Consider the following 12,928-nt stretch of genomic DNA (forward strand, 5'->3'; position numbering starts at 1 on the left):
CTCCCATTGGTCCTGCAACAAAGTGTGTGGGGGATGAGTAGAGACCCTTGTCATACCATGAGGCCAGAGGCTCACTTGGCTGATTATAAGAATATCTTTACCCAGAAAAAGGGAAACCCTGACACCACAGCCTGGATCAACAGGACCTTTAGCTGCCTGAACCCAGGACTCAAGGAAGTCCTTGACCATCCAGGAGAAACCAAATACCAGTACCAAAGGCTTCTGTGAGCTAGCCAAGAAACCCACCCTGCATCTCTTACTGAGGTTCTAACTGGCTTCACTGGCTCCACCCTTGCAGGACCCTGGAGTCTATACTCCACATGCAGACCAAAGCGACCTTTTAAAATTAAGCCAAATTCTCTATTCTCCTCAAAACCCACATTCAGATATAAATCCAAAATCCTTAACAAATGGTAAAAAGAAAACAATCAAACCTAAATCCTTTTAGTTGGTGCATCTATAAGGCGCTTCCTGGGCTACACGTCCCCTGCCTTCCCCCGCATTCCCCACCACTCTCACCTCTCTCGGTTTCCTTCCTGTTGCTCCAATTGACCAAAGACATATCCGCCTCAGGGATTGGTTTGTGCTTCCTCTTCTCTATGCTTAAAACTCTTTCACCCAGCTATCTTCCCAGGTGCCTCCTGCATCCCTCCAGGACCCTATTCAGGCATCACCTATCACAGAGGCCTGTACTAATCATGGCGCACACTTACACTCTGCACACCCCTTATTCTGACTTATTACTTCATAACACTTATCGCCCTCTGGGTTTTTCTTGTTGTTGTTTTTCTCTAATCCCATGAAAGATAACTTACATTGTGTTTTTTCTTTTGAGATGGGATCTCACTATGTTGCCCAGGCTGGCTTCAAACTCCTGGGCTCAAACAAACTGCCTGCCTCAGCCTCCCAAACAGCTGGGACTACAGTGTTATGTATTTATTTAATAGAATAGGTGGTCATTGAAAGCAAGGACTTTGTTTTATTCACTGCTATATCCCCAACACCTAAAACAGTCCTAAATACATAGTCGGTGCTCAATAAATGTTTGTTGAATTTAACGAATACATGAATGGGGAGCCATAAAACCAACTTGCAATTGATTTTTAAAAATATAACCTACAGATCGGGCATAGTGGCTCATGCCTATAATCCCAACACTTTGGGAGGCCAAGGCAGGAGAATTGCTTGAGGCCAGAAGTTCAAGACCAGAATGGAAACACAGAGAGACTCTGTCTCTACAAAAAATTTAAAAATTAGCCAGGCAGTAGGCCAGACGCAGTGGCTCACACCTGTAATCCCAGCACTTTGGGAGGCCAAGGTGGGTGGATCACAAGGTCAGGAGTTCAAGACCAGCCTAGCCAACACGGTGAAACTCCGTCTCTACTAAAAATACAAAAATTAGCCGGGCCTGGGCATGGTGGCACACCCCTGTAATCCCAGCTACTCAGGGGGCTGAGGCACAAGAATCGCTTGAACCCGGGAGGCTGAGGTTGCAGTGAGCTGAGATTGCACCACTGCACTCCAGCCTGGCAAACAGAGCAAGACTCCACCTCAAAACAAAAACAAAAACACTCTAGATGGTGACGGTTGCACAATCTTGTAAATATCCCAAAAACCACTGCATTTTATGGTATGTGAATTATATCTCAATAAAGCTATTCTAGGCCAGGCACAGTGGCTCATGCCTATAATCCCAACACTTTGGGAGACCGAGATACATGGATCACTCAAGTCCAGGAGTTCAAGACCAGCCCGGACAATATAGCAAGATCCCATCTCTACAAAAAATATAAAAATTAGCCAGGCACGGTGGTGTGTGCCTGTAGTCCCAGCTACTTGGGAGGCTACAGTGGGAGGATCGCCAGAGCCAGGGAGGCAGAGGTTGCAGTGAAAGGAGACTGTACCACTGCAATCCAGCCTGGGTGACAGATCAAGACCCTGTCTCAAAAAAATAAAAATAAAAAAACAGCTGTTCTATTTTTTTAATTACGTTGTTTCCAGATGTTTGCTATTAAATGTGCTATTAAATGTGTTATTAATATAGGATCCTATTCATTACTAACTGCATATGATGATGGTTATCATCAATAAAGAATAGTTCTGACTTGCATATTTTAGACGGAAATTTAGCAGTATCTATCAAAAAATGTTTAAAGCACAATCCTTTTAACTCAGCTATTTTCCACTTTGGAATTTAGCCTAAATATATACTCACACCAATTTGCAAGGATATGTGGAAATGATCGTGTTCTGTGCCACTGTTTGCACTTTTGAAAAACTAGTATCAAACTAAGCATTTCTCAGCAGAGTAGAGTGGGAGCATGGGAATCAGAGCCCAGGGCGCCACTGACCCACTGTGTGAGTCTGGACATATTGGATAAAGTACCTAAATCTCAGGCATAAAACTGGGTAACAGCACTACTTCATAGGACTGTAATGAGACTTAGACGACAAAACACATGTCAGTATTCAATAAATATTAACTGTTACAATCATTACTATTATCATCAGATGAGACATTTATTAAATGAATTATGGCACATCCATGCAGTGGAATGCTATACAAATATTTAAAGAATGGGGGAGATTTATAAGAACTAATATGAAAAGAGTTTCTTTTCTTTCTTTCTTTTCGAGACAGGGTCTTGCTCTGTCACCCAAGCTGGAGTGCAGTGCCACAATCACGGCTCATTGCAGCCTCTAACTTCTAGGTTCAAGTGATCCTCCTACCTCAGACTCCTGAGTACCTGGGATTACAGGAGCACGTCACCACACCCGGCTAAATTTTGTAGAGACGGGATTTCGCCATGTTGCCCAGGCTGGTCTCGAACTCCTGAGCTCAAGCGATCCTCTCGCCTCAGGCCTCCTAAAGTGCTAGGACTACAGGCCTAAGCCCCTGCTCCTGGCATGAAAAGAGTTTCAAAATGTATCATTAAGTAAAAAAGGCCAATTGCTGAACAAGATCATAGAACAATCCCAATTATGTATTTAAAAGAGAAAATCTGACCGGGTGCTGTGGCTCACACCTGTAATCCTAGCATTTTGGGAGGCCGAGGAGGGTGGATCACCTGAGGTCAGGAGTTCGAGACCAGCCTGGCCAACATGGTGAAACTCCATCTCTATTAAAAATACAAAAATTAGCTGGACATGGTGGTGCACACCTGTAGTCCCAGCTACTCGGGGGGCTGAGGCAGGAGAATTGCTTGAACCAGGGAGGCGGAGATTGCAGTGAGCCGAGATCGTGCCACTGCACTCCAGCCTGGCAACAGAGCGAGACTCCGTCTGAAGAAAAAATAAATAAATAAATAATAAAAGAGAAAATCTGTATGTGTGTATATATATGTAATTGTATACACTTGCATGTATGTGTTTGTGTGTGTGTGTACACGCACATGTGTATATATGTTCATATGTGCATGGAAAGTTTCTCGAAGAATACCCAGAAACTGGGTGGTGGGATTGAAGAGATAGGGCAAGTTAACTTTTCACATTTTAACACTTTTTTTCCGATGAAGAAAGTTCTAATTTTACAAATATAAAAAGAATAATGTTGAAAATAACTTGCTTACCAAAAGGTAGGGAAAAAAGAAGCACTCTGGTTACAGAAAGGGCATTGACAAAAGAAAGTTTCCACTGAATTCTAAAATTGGCAGCAGCCTGTACACATTAAAAGAAACAGTCTACTGTGAAAGAACAGAATTTAACTGAGGTTCTGGGTTATGTACAATCCTATCAGAGATCTAGTAATTACTGACTTCTGAAAATATCCACCTTATCTGCACAGTAAAAGCACTAAGACTTTCATCTTCAGTTTCAAATACTGCTTTTTATTTTTAAAGTACTTAAAACCTATTGGATTTATGCAGTATTGAACTGAAAGGCAATCGAAATAATATAATTGAAATTTAAATTTCCATCACCTGGTGTTTCATTTTGATCATTTAATTTTTTTAATTGAGGATTAAAATAACACAAGAAATTTTAACATTTTAAAAATCTCAAATTCTCACCACCACAACACAAAGCAATACCAATTAAAGATCAAAATTCCAACATGAAGCAACTTTTAGAAAAAAATTTCTAAAGAGCAGATCAAAATTATAGCAAGACTTTGCCTGCTAAAGAGATTTAAAACTCAAACAAGAACACTTAAGCTGAGATTGACTAAGGGGACAAAGTCTATAGGCAAAAGGGACCAAAAAACAAAAGGGGACACTACTTTATGTCTGACCTTTCAGAAGTCACAACTTCTCAAATGCTGCCAGCAAAGAGCATTTTTTTTTTTTTAAGACGGAGTCTCACTCTGTCACCCAGGCTGGAGTGCAGTAGTGTTATCTCGGCTCACCGCAAGCTCTGCCTCCTGGGTTCACGCCATTCTCCCACCTCAGCCTCCCGAGTAGCTCGGACTACAGGCGCCCGCCACCATGCCTAGCTAATTTTGTTTTTGTATTTTTAGCAGAGACGGGGTCTCACCGTGTTAGCCAGGATGGTCTCGATCTCCTGACCTCGTGATCCACCCGCCTCGGCCTCCCAAAGTGCTGGGATTACAGGCATGAGCCACCGTGCCCGGCAAATGCTTAGTCATTTTAAAAAACAACTTGTCTATATGTTAAAATGAGAAACAGAACATTAATCTCCTTGGAAGTGTCAGAATAATACTCAGATGTTACTAGAAGGCAAACTGCCTGAAAAATCTAGTTTATCTTAATAATCAGATAAAACATTAAGAACATCACCATTCTAAGATTAATTCATTACTAGAACTGTTTATCAAGGGAGATTGTGAATGTGCTCACTATTATCTTTAACAGGTGAGACAGTCCTCTCAATGAGGACTAAACTCAGTTGTAAAGTAAGGAAAGACATCTATGATCCTTCTCCCACCAACATGCTGGAGATCCCTCTTCCAGAGTCTGCTCCCCACAATATCCCCAAATGGGAAGCAGATCCTGTAGAAAAAGAACTGGATTCAGGCTTACTGTGTGTGAGCCAAAGTAGTCAAGCGAGAGGGTCCCCAGTGCCTGTGGGCCCTAGCACAGCTTCACACAATAAATATCTCATACACTCTCCTAGTCCTGGTAGGTGAGCTGTCATTAATGACATAATAACACCCACATAATTCACCTGAATCCAGTCACGTCTCACCGTCTCCACTGCTATTCCCTAAGATCAAGGTCCATATGCTCTCAGCTGCCAGGTCTCTCCACATCTGCTGTTGACCCTCCCTTCATTCTCTACCCAGTGGTGTTTTTAAAACACATATCATAGCTTTCATCTGCTTAAAACCTTCCAAAGACCTCCCTGTCACATTTGGAAGAAAATCCAAACTCCTTCCCATGGCACACAGGCCCTGCCTGATAGGTCCCATTGCCCTCCAACCTCATCTACCCTTGGACAAAACTATAGCCCACATGGGCCTTCCTTCTGTCCTGTAGACAAGCCCAGCCCATTGCCATCTCAGTGGCATCTTTGCATTAGCTGCTCCCTCTACCCAGAACACTCTTCTCACTCAACTCACGTCACCTTTCACAATCTGAAATGATTTGCTTACTGTGCTGTCTGCTTCTATCACCACTAACTGCCCAGCTCCATGACAGCAGGAACCCTTTGTAGGAACCTCTGTGCCCATACTGTCTGGCACAGCGCCTGGCACAATCACAGGAGCTCAAGAGTTGATGAATGGTTAGAATTCACAATTATTGGTCTGGCACGGTGGCTCACTCCCGTAATCCCAGCACTTTGGGAGGCAGAGGCAGGTGGATCACAAGGTCAGGAGTTTGAGACCAGCCTGGCCAATATGGTTAAACCCCATCTCTACTAAAAATACAAAAATTAGCCGGGCATGGTGGCGGATACCTGTAATCCCAGCTAGTTGGGAGGCTGAGACAGAAGAATCGCTTGAACCCAGGAGGCAGAGGTTGCAGTGAGCTGAGATCGTGCCACTGCACTCCAGCCTGGGTGACAGAGCAAGACTCTGTCTCAAAAAAAAAAAAAAAAAAGAATTCACAATTTTTTTTAATCATTATGCATTTTTGCTCAACAAATAGATAGTGAAAGTGCAGCTACTATGTTTTAGGCAATTGTAGTTGTCTTTTAATGGGGTCCTAAATTAGAAAACAAAGTATTTGCAACTAATATCATAAAAAGAGCTAATTTCTTTTTTTTTTCTTTCTTTTTTTTTTTTTTTGAGATGGAGTCTTGCTCTGTCACTCAGGCTGGAATGCAGTGGCGTGAGCTCAGCTCACTGCAACCTTAATATTATTTTTAATCTTCAAACTAAGAAAGTCATTGACAAAACCAGAAAAAGGTATAAATATCTCATTTTTAAAAGCAAGATGAATGACTCCTCAATATATGTAAAGATGCAAAATCTTGCTCAAAATAAAACAAAACTACTGGATACCATTTTTCACTTTTCAGCATAGTAAAGATCAAATACTTTGCAGAGTATGCAGAAACACGCTCTCTCCTATATTGCTGGTGGAAGCATAAATTGATACAGTACAATCTTTTTGGAGAGTAGTTTGGAATTATCTGTGAAAATTACAAGTGCATATCTCCTTTGACCCAATGATTTAACTCTCAGGAATGTATCCTATGGATATACCTGCATAAAAGAAGTAAAATATATATGAACAGGATAATCACTGCAGCGTTTACTACAGACAAGAAACGACATAAATGTATAGTGACTATGGGCCATCTCTACAGTAGAATACTACGAAGCTGCAGAATCAGGGAGCTCTTGGACTCACATGGAATGATCTACATGACACACTGTTAGTTAAAAAGCAAGTTTCAGGACTGTGTATTACACTGTATTTCTGGCTTTTGTAAATATATATAATGTACTTACAAATATATAAAATGTCTCTGAAATGACAAACCAAAAACTAGTAACTTTGGTTACATCTAGGGAAAAGAACTGAATGGCTGGAAGAATGGAGAAAGGCTTAGTTTTGTAGCTTTTAGATTTTGAACCGTTTTTATATGATTATTAACCATCTAAAACAAATCAATTTAAAAGGATTATCCTCATACATAAAAAGTTCTAAAATATTGCTTTGGAAGACCTAAGATTTCTTCCAAACTTTAGATTGTGCACTGTGCCAAAATTTCGGAGGTTCATAAAAGTAAACCATACTCTTATCTTTATTCCTTTCGTACCATTAAGTACTTGATAAATAATTGTTCCTTGATTTTTTTGTTGTTTTGTTTTGAGACAGGGTCTCCCTGCTGCCTAGGCTGGAGTGCAGTTGCTGAATCATAGTTCACTGCAGCCTTCAACTCCTGGGCTCAGGTGATCCTCCCACCTCAGCCTCTGGAGTAGCTGGGACAACAGGCTGTTTCCTGATAGACCTTATTCATTTTCTTTTCTTTTTTTTTTTTTTTGAGACTCAGTCTCACTTTATCGCCCAGGCTGGAGTGCAGTAGCGTGATATCGGCTTACTGCAACCTCCGCCTCCCAGGTTCAAGTGATTCTCCTGCCTCAGCCTCCTGAGTAGCTGGGATTGCAGTCACCCACCACCACGCTCAGCTAATTTTTGTATTTTTAGTAGAGACGGGGTTTCACCATGTTGGTCTGGCTGGTCTCGAACTCCTGACCTCAGGTGATCCGCCTGCCTCGGCCTCCCAAAGTGCTGGAATTACAGGCGTGAGCCACCACGCCTGGCCCCAAACAGCATTTTAAATTATACAATAGAAGATATAGTTCTGGAAGGTTATATTTTGAAATGTTATATAAACAATAGATATTTATGGTGCCTGAATAGCAATTTTTGCGGTAGTGGAGAAATGACAACTCTGGCAAGTACTAAGAATTATTTCCTAGTATTTCAGCTGGGCACAGTGGCTCACACCTGTAATCCCAATACTTTGGGAGGCCAAGGTGGTAGGATTGCTTGAAGCCAGGAGTTCACAACAGGCCTGGGCAACATAGTAAGACCCCATATCGAACTCCTGACCTTGTGATCTGCCCACCTCGGCCTCCCAAAGTGCTGGGATTACAGGCGTGAGCCACCACGCCTGGCCTGTGAGACCCCATGTCTACAAAAAATGTTCTTAATTCACTGGGCGTGGTAGCTCATGCCTGTGGTCCCAGCTACTCCACAGGCTGAGGTGGGAAAATCACCTGACTCCAGGAGTTCCAGGCTGCAGTGGGCTTGATCGCACCACTGCACTCCGGCCTGGGTGACAGAGTGAGATCTCTTCTCAATCAATCAACAAAAATACAAAATAAAAGATGTTTTAATAACAAATAGTATAAGAGAATTTACCTGCCTTCTAGGACTTTTTATCTAATCCAACTTAGGAGCCAGGATATGTTTATATGAAAATATAACCATCACGCTAAGAAGGATATCATAGATGCCAAATAAATAGTACAAATAAGCAATTCCTTAAGGAGTTCAGGAGGAAACATCACATCCACTAGGGTGATCAGTAAATGCTTCAAGAGAGGAATAGAATCTGAATTGGGCTTGATGAATAATCCAATTTCAGCAGGCTAGGCATTGCACAGTAAGGGACATTTGAGTGGCTCAGGAAGAAGTAAGCAGGCCAGGCTGGACAAATGAAGACTGCAAGTGGCAGAGGATACTGTTAACTCCTGGAAAGTCCACTTCATCAGTCCCTGATGCCTGTGCCCTTCCAATGCCCTGGATTAATTTTGACTCTTCCTGGTATTTTCCAGAGTTGTCATTTCTCCTCCATTTCTCCACCACCACAAAGCCATCCAAGCTCTCATCCCCTCCCTCTGGGAAGATCTCCAACTCATCTTCCTGTGTACAATCTTCCCTCTCTCCAAATCACAGAACACATGTACCACATGTACTACTTTATATGCATAACCCATTTACCCTAAACACAAAACTGGCTAATGGCTAGCCACTGCCTGCAAAATAAAATTATTCTCCCTGGAATTCAAGGCCTTCTGTCATCTGCTCTCTATCCACCTCTCACTCCATCACTGGACTCACGCTTCCATAAACTTCATATACAAGTTTCTTGCCCACGATGTTCCTTTTATCTTAAAAAATCTCTTTTATTTTGTTCCCAGGCAGGGCACATATGGTTGTACAGGTTGCATTAACTAGAATTTATATAAATGACACTCCCTGGCCAGGCGCGGTGGCTCACGCCTGTAGTCCTAGCACTTTGGAAGGCCGACACGGGTGGATCACCTGAGGTCAGGAGTTCGAGACCAGTCTGACCAACATGGAGAAACCCCATCTCTACTAAAAATGCAAAAAATAAAATAAAATAAAATAAATGACACTCCCTGCTAGTTTGGGCAGTGCACAACCTCTGCAACCTTCCAACCATGGTTTGTTTCCATCCTCCACCACCCTGAAGGCCTTCTCTGAACAACGGAACTCTCAGAGATCAATTGTGCCTCTGATTCCTACACCACCAACTTGACACCAACTTTTCTTTACAACAGAAAGTTACAATATTTGGAACACCAGCAGTGCCTTGAACATAACAGATATTCAAAAGATGTTTGCAAACTATGATGGAGTAAGTCAAGATCGGCAGGTTGTCATCAAACTGTAAAGAGCCTTGAAGGCCAAGAAAGAAGTTTTGGCTTTATTTGGCAGATGCAAAATATGGTCAAATAATGAGAATGATGTTTTAGAAAGACTAATTTCAGCAACCACAAGCAAGCAGGGTTTTAACGACTATACTTAAAGTGACAGGTTAAGGGCCCTCTCTGTTGAAGGGCAGAGGGGAGCTTCCTCTGTAATGAGCAGCATCCTCATTCGGCCATCCTGCAGTTTATCTGTTTGGGATTGCAGATATTGGTTTTCATATACCTACACTCAGACAGTGAAGCTAAAACTGGGCCATTAAGCTAAGAAAAACATGCTTTTGCCTGAAATATCTAAGTATCTAGGAAACAGCTCTGACTTGAATAATTATACACATACATAAAATACATATACACAAATAAGCATTACTTTTCTCCCTTCACTTCTTTTGCAGTCTCCCTCTTTTCCATCTCTGTCTTCCCTTTTTTGTTTCTTGTGTTTCTCTCCCTAAAATTACTATGCATTTCTCTCATTTCTTTACAAATGCTTTACATTAATGATCTCCATATGGCCCTTTCCCTCTCCCAAAACACCCTCCCTCCCCCTAAGATTATATTTGAGGTATTTTACTGGTTTTGCTCATATACTGGTTCAGTCAACTCCCTCATTATCTGCACTAATAATAATTCAATTCTCCTGTTTCCTTTGCTAATGTAGCTCAAACCTTCACTAACCTTAGAATTCTACAGTTACTGGAGAATCAAAATTCCAAGTCCATTTTCCTAAAGCCCTCCTTAAAAAAAAAAGGCATTTATGTATTTAGGTAAATAAATTAATTTCATTGTATTGTTGGAGAACCAAATAAGTAACTCTTATCTGTAAATTCAAAACTGTTAGAACCTAATTCACTAAACAAAATGAGTTTCCTAATGAATTTCCTTTCAAAGCATGTATCTTCGATTTCAAGCCAAGAAGAAATAATAGACTCCGTGGCACTAGACAATTTTATTTACTTCTTAGATTTATATAAAAATCCTTACTCCCTACAGGAAGAATATTATGTAGAAGTAATCCACTGCAATAGCAAGGCCGCCGTTCCGAACATGTACATGCCTATCAGTAAAACATGACAGGGCACAACCTTAAATTTAAAAAATGAATGGAAGGAGGATCTTAAGACAGTGTCAAACAGATAAACTATAATATGCAGTTTGGGTTTTGTGCCCCAAAAGGCTGTCTTCTTTGAAAGTCCATCCTTAGTCTGCTTATTCCTCCCACTGAATATGCTCACTTGTACTAAAAACAGGAAAGTGCTATCACCACTTCAAGGTAAGACAGTCTAAGAAAAGACTGCAATATTTTCCCATTCATCCTAGTAAAGTAGAAAAAAAAATTTACCCAAATACTGTTTTCTGGATTTAGGACAGTTTAGATTTTTCTTTGTTCTCAAGGTAATGGTTTTTTCCCTTCCCATATCATAGACCCTCTGAAAGTCGCAGTGTGAATCTTTGCTACCAAACGGTGGACAAGAGGTTTGCTAACTCCATACTTTGTAGGAAAAGGGGGAAGAAAAGGGCACAGACATCCATTATTTAGAGTCTATCGATAAATTAACCTGCTTTATAATATAACGATTCCATTACAGCACATAGTATGCCGGGGGCAGAGTGTATAGAATGTGTGGAGAGTGCACATTTCACCATAACAAGAATCCATCTTTCCAAACACTACCAAAAATTGGCAAATAATTCAAACTGCGCTTAGTTCAAGGCTTAATTGTTGAACCCTAACAATAAAAGTTCAGAAAAATGTAATTAGCAGGTTGCTCTCTGCGCAAAAGTAAACTACAAAGAGGGGACATTTGTCTATCTCTACACGCCCCTCCCCATGCCTGAGGATTTCGCCCTCAAGAGGTGCGTCTAGTGTAAGGGCCAGACCCCGCTGGTGCCCCGGACAACGGGGTAGGAGTGGGGACCGACCGGTCCCGTAGTTGGCCGCGCCTGGGCCTCGCTGGGCGCGCACCCCGCTGGCTCGGTCGCCCGGAGGCGGACAGGACGGAGACGGGACGTATGGACGGGACGGACAGACGCGACAGGACGGACGGGACGGGTAGAGAAGCAGTGCGTCCTACCCGGAGGGCTCCCTCCCAGGGCCGGCGGAGTACCTGCTCCGGTCATCCAGGCTGCGGTTGTCGGCGGCTGCGTTGCGCCAGTCGGGCAACGTGCTGGCGCACAGCACCACCATGGACACGATCACGAACACCACCGACACGCTAGCCAGGATCTGCGCGGCCAGCGACGACGTGGGCTCCTCGAAGGTCCGCCGCATGCGCTCCAGCCAGCGCCTGGAGGGAGCCGCCTCGGCCCCGCCGGGGCGCGCCTCGTCGCGGCCCAGCACGCCCGGCTCGTCGGCCGAGTAGAAGGTGTAGGTGTCGGACATGCGGTCGTCGAGGCGGCGCTGGCAGCAGTACTCGAGGTGCGCGCCCTCCAGGCCCCAGTAGATCATCTCGTTGTAGAAGGAGAGCTCGCACATCCGCGGCGCGAAGCGCAGCTTGCCGTGGCCGCGCACGTAGAGCAGGATGAAGCCGAAGGCCTCCGAGTGCCGGTCGAAGAAGTACTCGTTGCGCTCGCGGTCGTAGTCGTCGCACACCTCGAGCACGTCGCGCTCGGAGCGGCAGCCGTGCAGCCGGCTCACGCGGCGCAGCGGGAAGTCCTTCAGCAGCTCCCGGGACAGCGAATACCGGGCGCCGCCCACGTTCAGCACCACCGAGGCCGCCCCGCTGCGCCCGAAGGTCATGGCTGGCCGCCCGGGGGACTTTCGGCCCGAGGGCCCCGCTGCAGCCCCCCACCCCAAGCCGCCACGCGGGGCCTGCCTGCCCGTGGCTGACGGGGGAGCGCGCCGTCGGGGCCCGCGCTCCCTCGGGGCTCCGCTCCTGCCCTCCGCTGGCCCGGGGGTCCCTGGGCTCGAGTATCTCCGGCGCTGCTAGTAGCGCGCCCTCCGCCCGGCGGTACCTGCGGGTGGCCGGGGAGTCCTCGCCGGCGCCAGCGCTGAGCCCCACCGGCTGGGAACGCGGCTGTGTCCGCGCCGCCGACCCTCGCGCCCGAGGGCTGCGCACACCGAGGCCGCGGTGCCCTCTCCCAAGCCGCGGGGCCGACCCCCTGAGGGCTGCGGGCGCCGAATGGAGCCGCCGGGGCGGAATAGCTCCCCGTCTCCGGCGCTCCCTGCGGCCGCGAATCCGGCGGCCGCCCCGCCGCCGTCCAGAGGCGAGAGGCAAAGTGAGCGGGTTCGGAGGCGGCGAAGAGCCGGCTCGCGGCGGCGGGGGCGGGGCCTCTGTGCAGTCCTCCTCCTCGCCCGCCGGCTCCGCGCGCGCCGCTCACCTCCCTCCGCGCCGCCCTCCG

At 45.2% G+C, this 12,928-nt stretch overlaps 1 protein-coding gene across 3 annotated transcripts in view, besides 4 other annotated features; it reads right to left on the reverse strand.

The window, feature by feature from the left end:
- KCNG3 (potassium voltage-gated channel modifier subfamily G member 3) overlaps window positions 1–12,807 on the reverse strand; it is a 105,631-nt gene extending 92,824 nt beyond the window's left edge. For 2 of the 3 annotated variants that reach the window (XR_007069666.1, NM_172344.3), the window contains exon 1: window positions 11,695–12,807. Coding sequence is in view for 2 of the 3 variants with exons in the window: in NM_172344.3 (NP_758847.1) it covers window positions 11,695–12,326 (632 nt within the window). In the remaining variant the exon portion in view is untranslated. Of the gene's footprint in view, window positions 1–11,661 lie in introns of all 3 variants that reach the window. The other variant, NM_133329.6, reaches the window with a different exon arrangement.
- Window positions 10,994–11,751: an enhancer, noted in NCBI's record as "H3K27ac-H3K4me1 hESC enhancer chr2:42719309-42720066 (GRCh37/hg19 assembly coordinates)". NCBI's record gives its function as "activates a minimal SCP1, AML or CMV promoter by ChIP-STARR-seq in naive H9 embryonic stem cells {active_cell/tissue: H9 hESC(naive)}" and the evidence as "EXISTENCE:reporter gene assay evidence [ECO:0000049][PMID:30033119]".
- Window positions 11,752–12,509: an enhancer, noted in NCBI's record as "H3K27ac-H3K4me1 hESC enhancer chr2:42720067-42720824 (GRCh37/hg19 assembly coordinates)". NCBI's record gives its function as "activates a minimal SCP1, AML or CMV promoter by ChIP-STARR-seq in naive H9 embryonic stem cells {active_cell/tissue: H9 hESC(naive)}" and the evidence as "EXISTENCE:reporter gene assay evidence [ECO:0000049][PMID:30033119]".
- Window positions 12,590–12,679: a silencer, noted in NCBI's record as "silent region_11404". NCBI's record gives its function as "represses an Ori minimal core promoter by ATAC-STARR-seq in GM12878 lymphoblastoid cells {active_cell/tissue: GM12878}" and the evidence as "EXISTENCE:reporter gene assay evidence [ECO:0000049][PMID:35858748]".
- Window positions 12,860–12,909: a silencer, noted in NCBI's record as "silent region_11405". NCBI's record gives its function as "represses an Ori minimal core promoter by ATAC-STARR-seq in GM12878 lymphoblastoid cells {active_cell/tissue: GM12878}" and the evidence as "EXISTENCE:reporter gene assay evidence [ECO:0000049][PMID:35858748]".

Source organism: Homo sapiens, chromosome 2 (genome assembly GCF_000001405.40).
Source record: "Homo sapiens chromosome 2, GRCh38.p14 Primary Assembly".
NCBI classification, from domain to species: domain Eukaryota; kingdom Metazoa; phylum Chordata; class Mammalia; order Primates; family Hominidae; genus Homo; species Homo sapiens.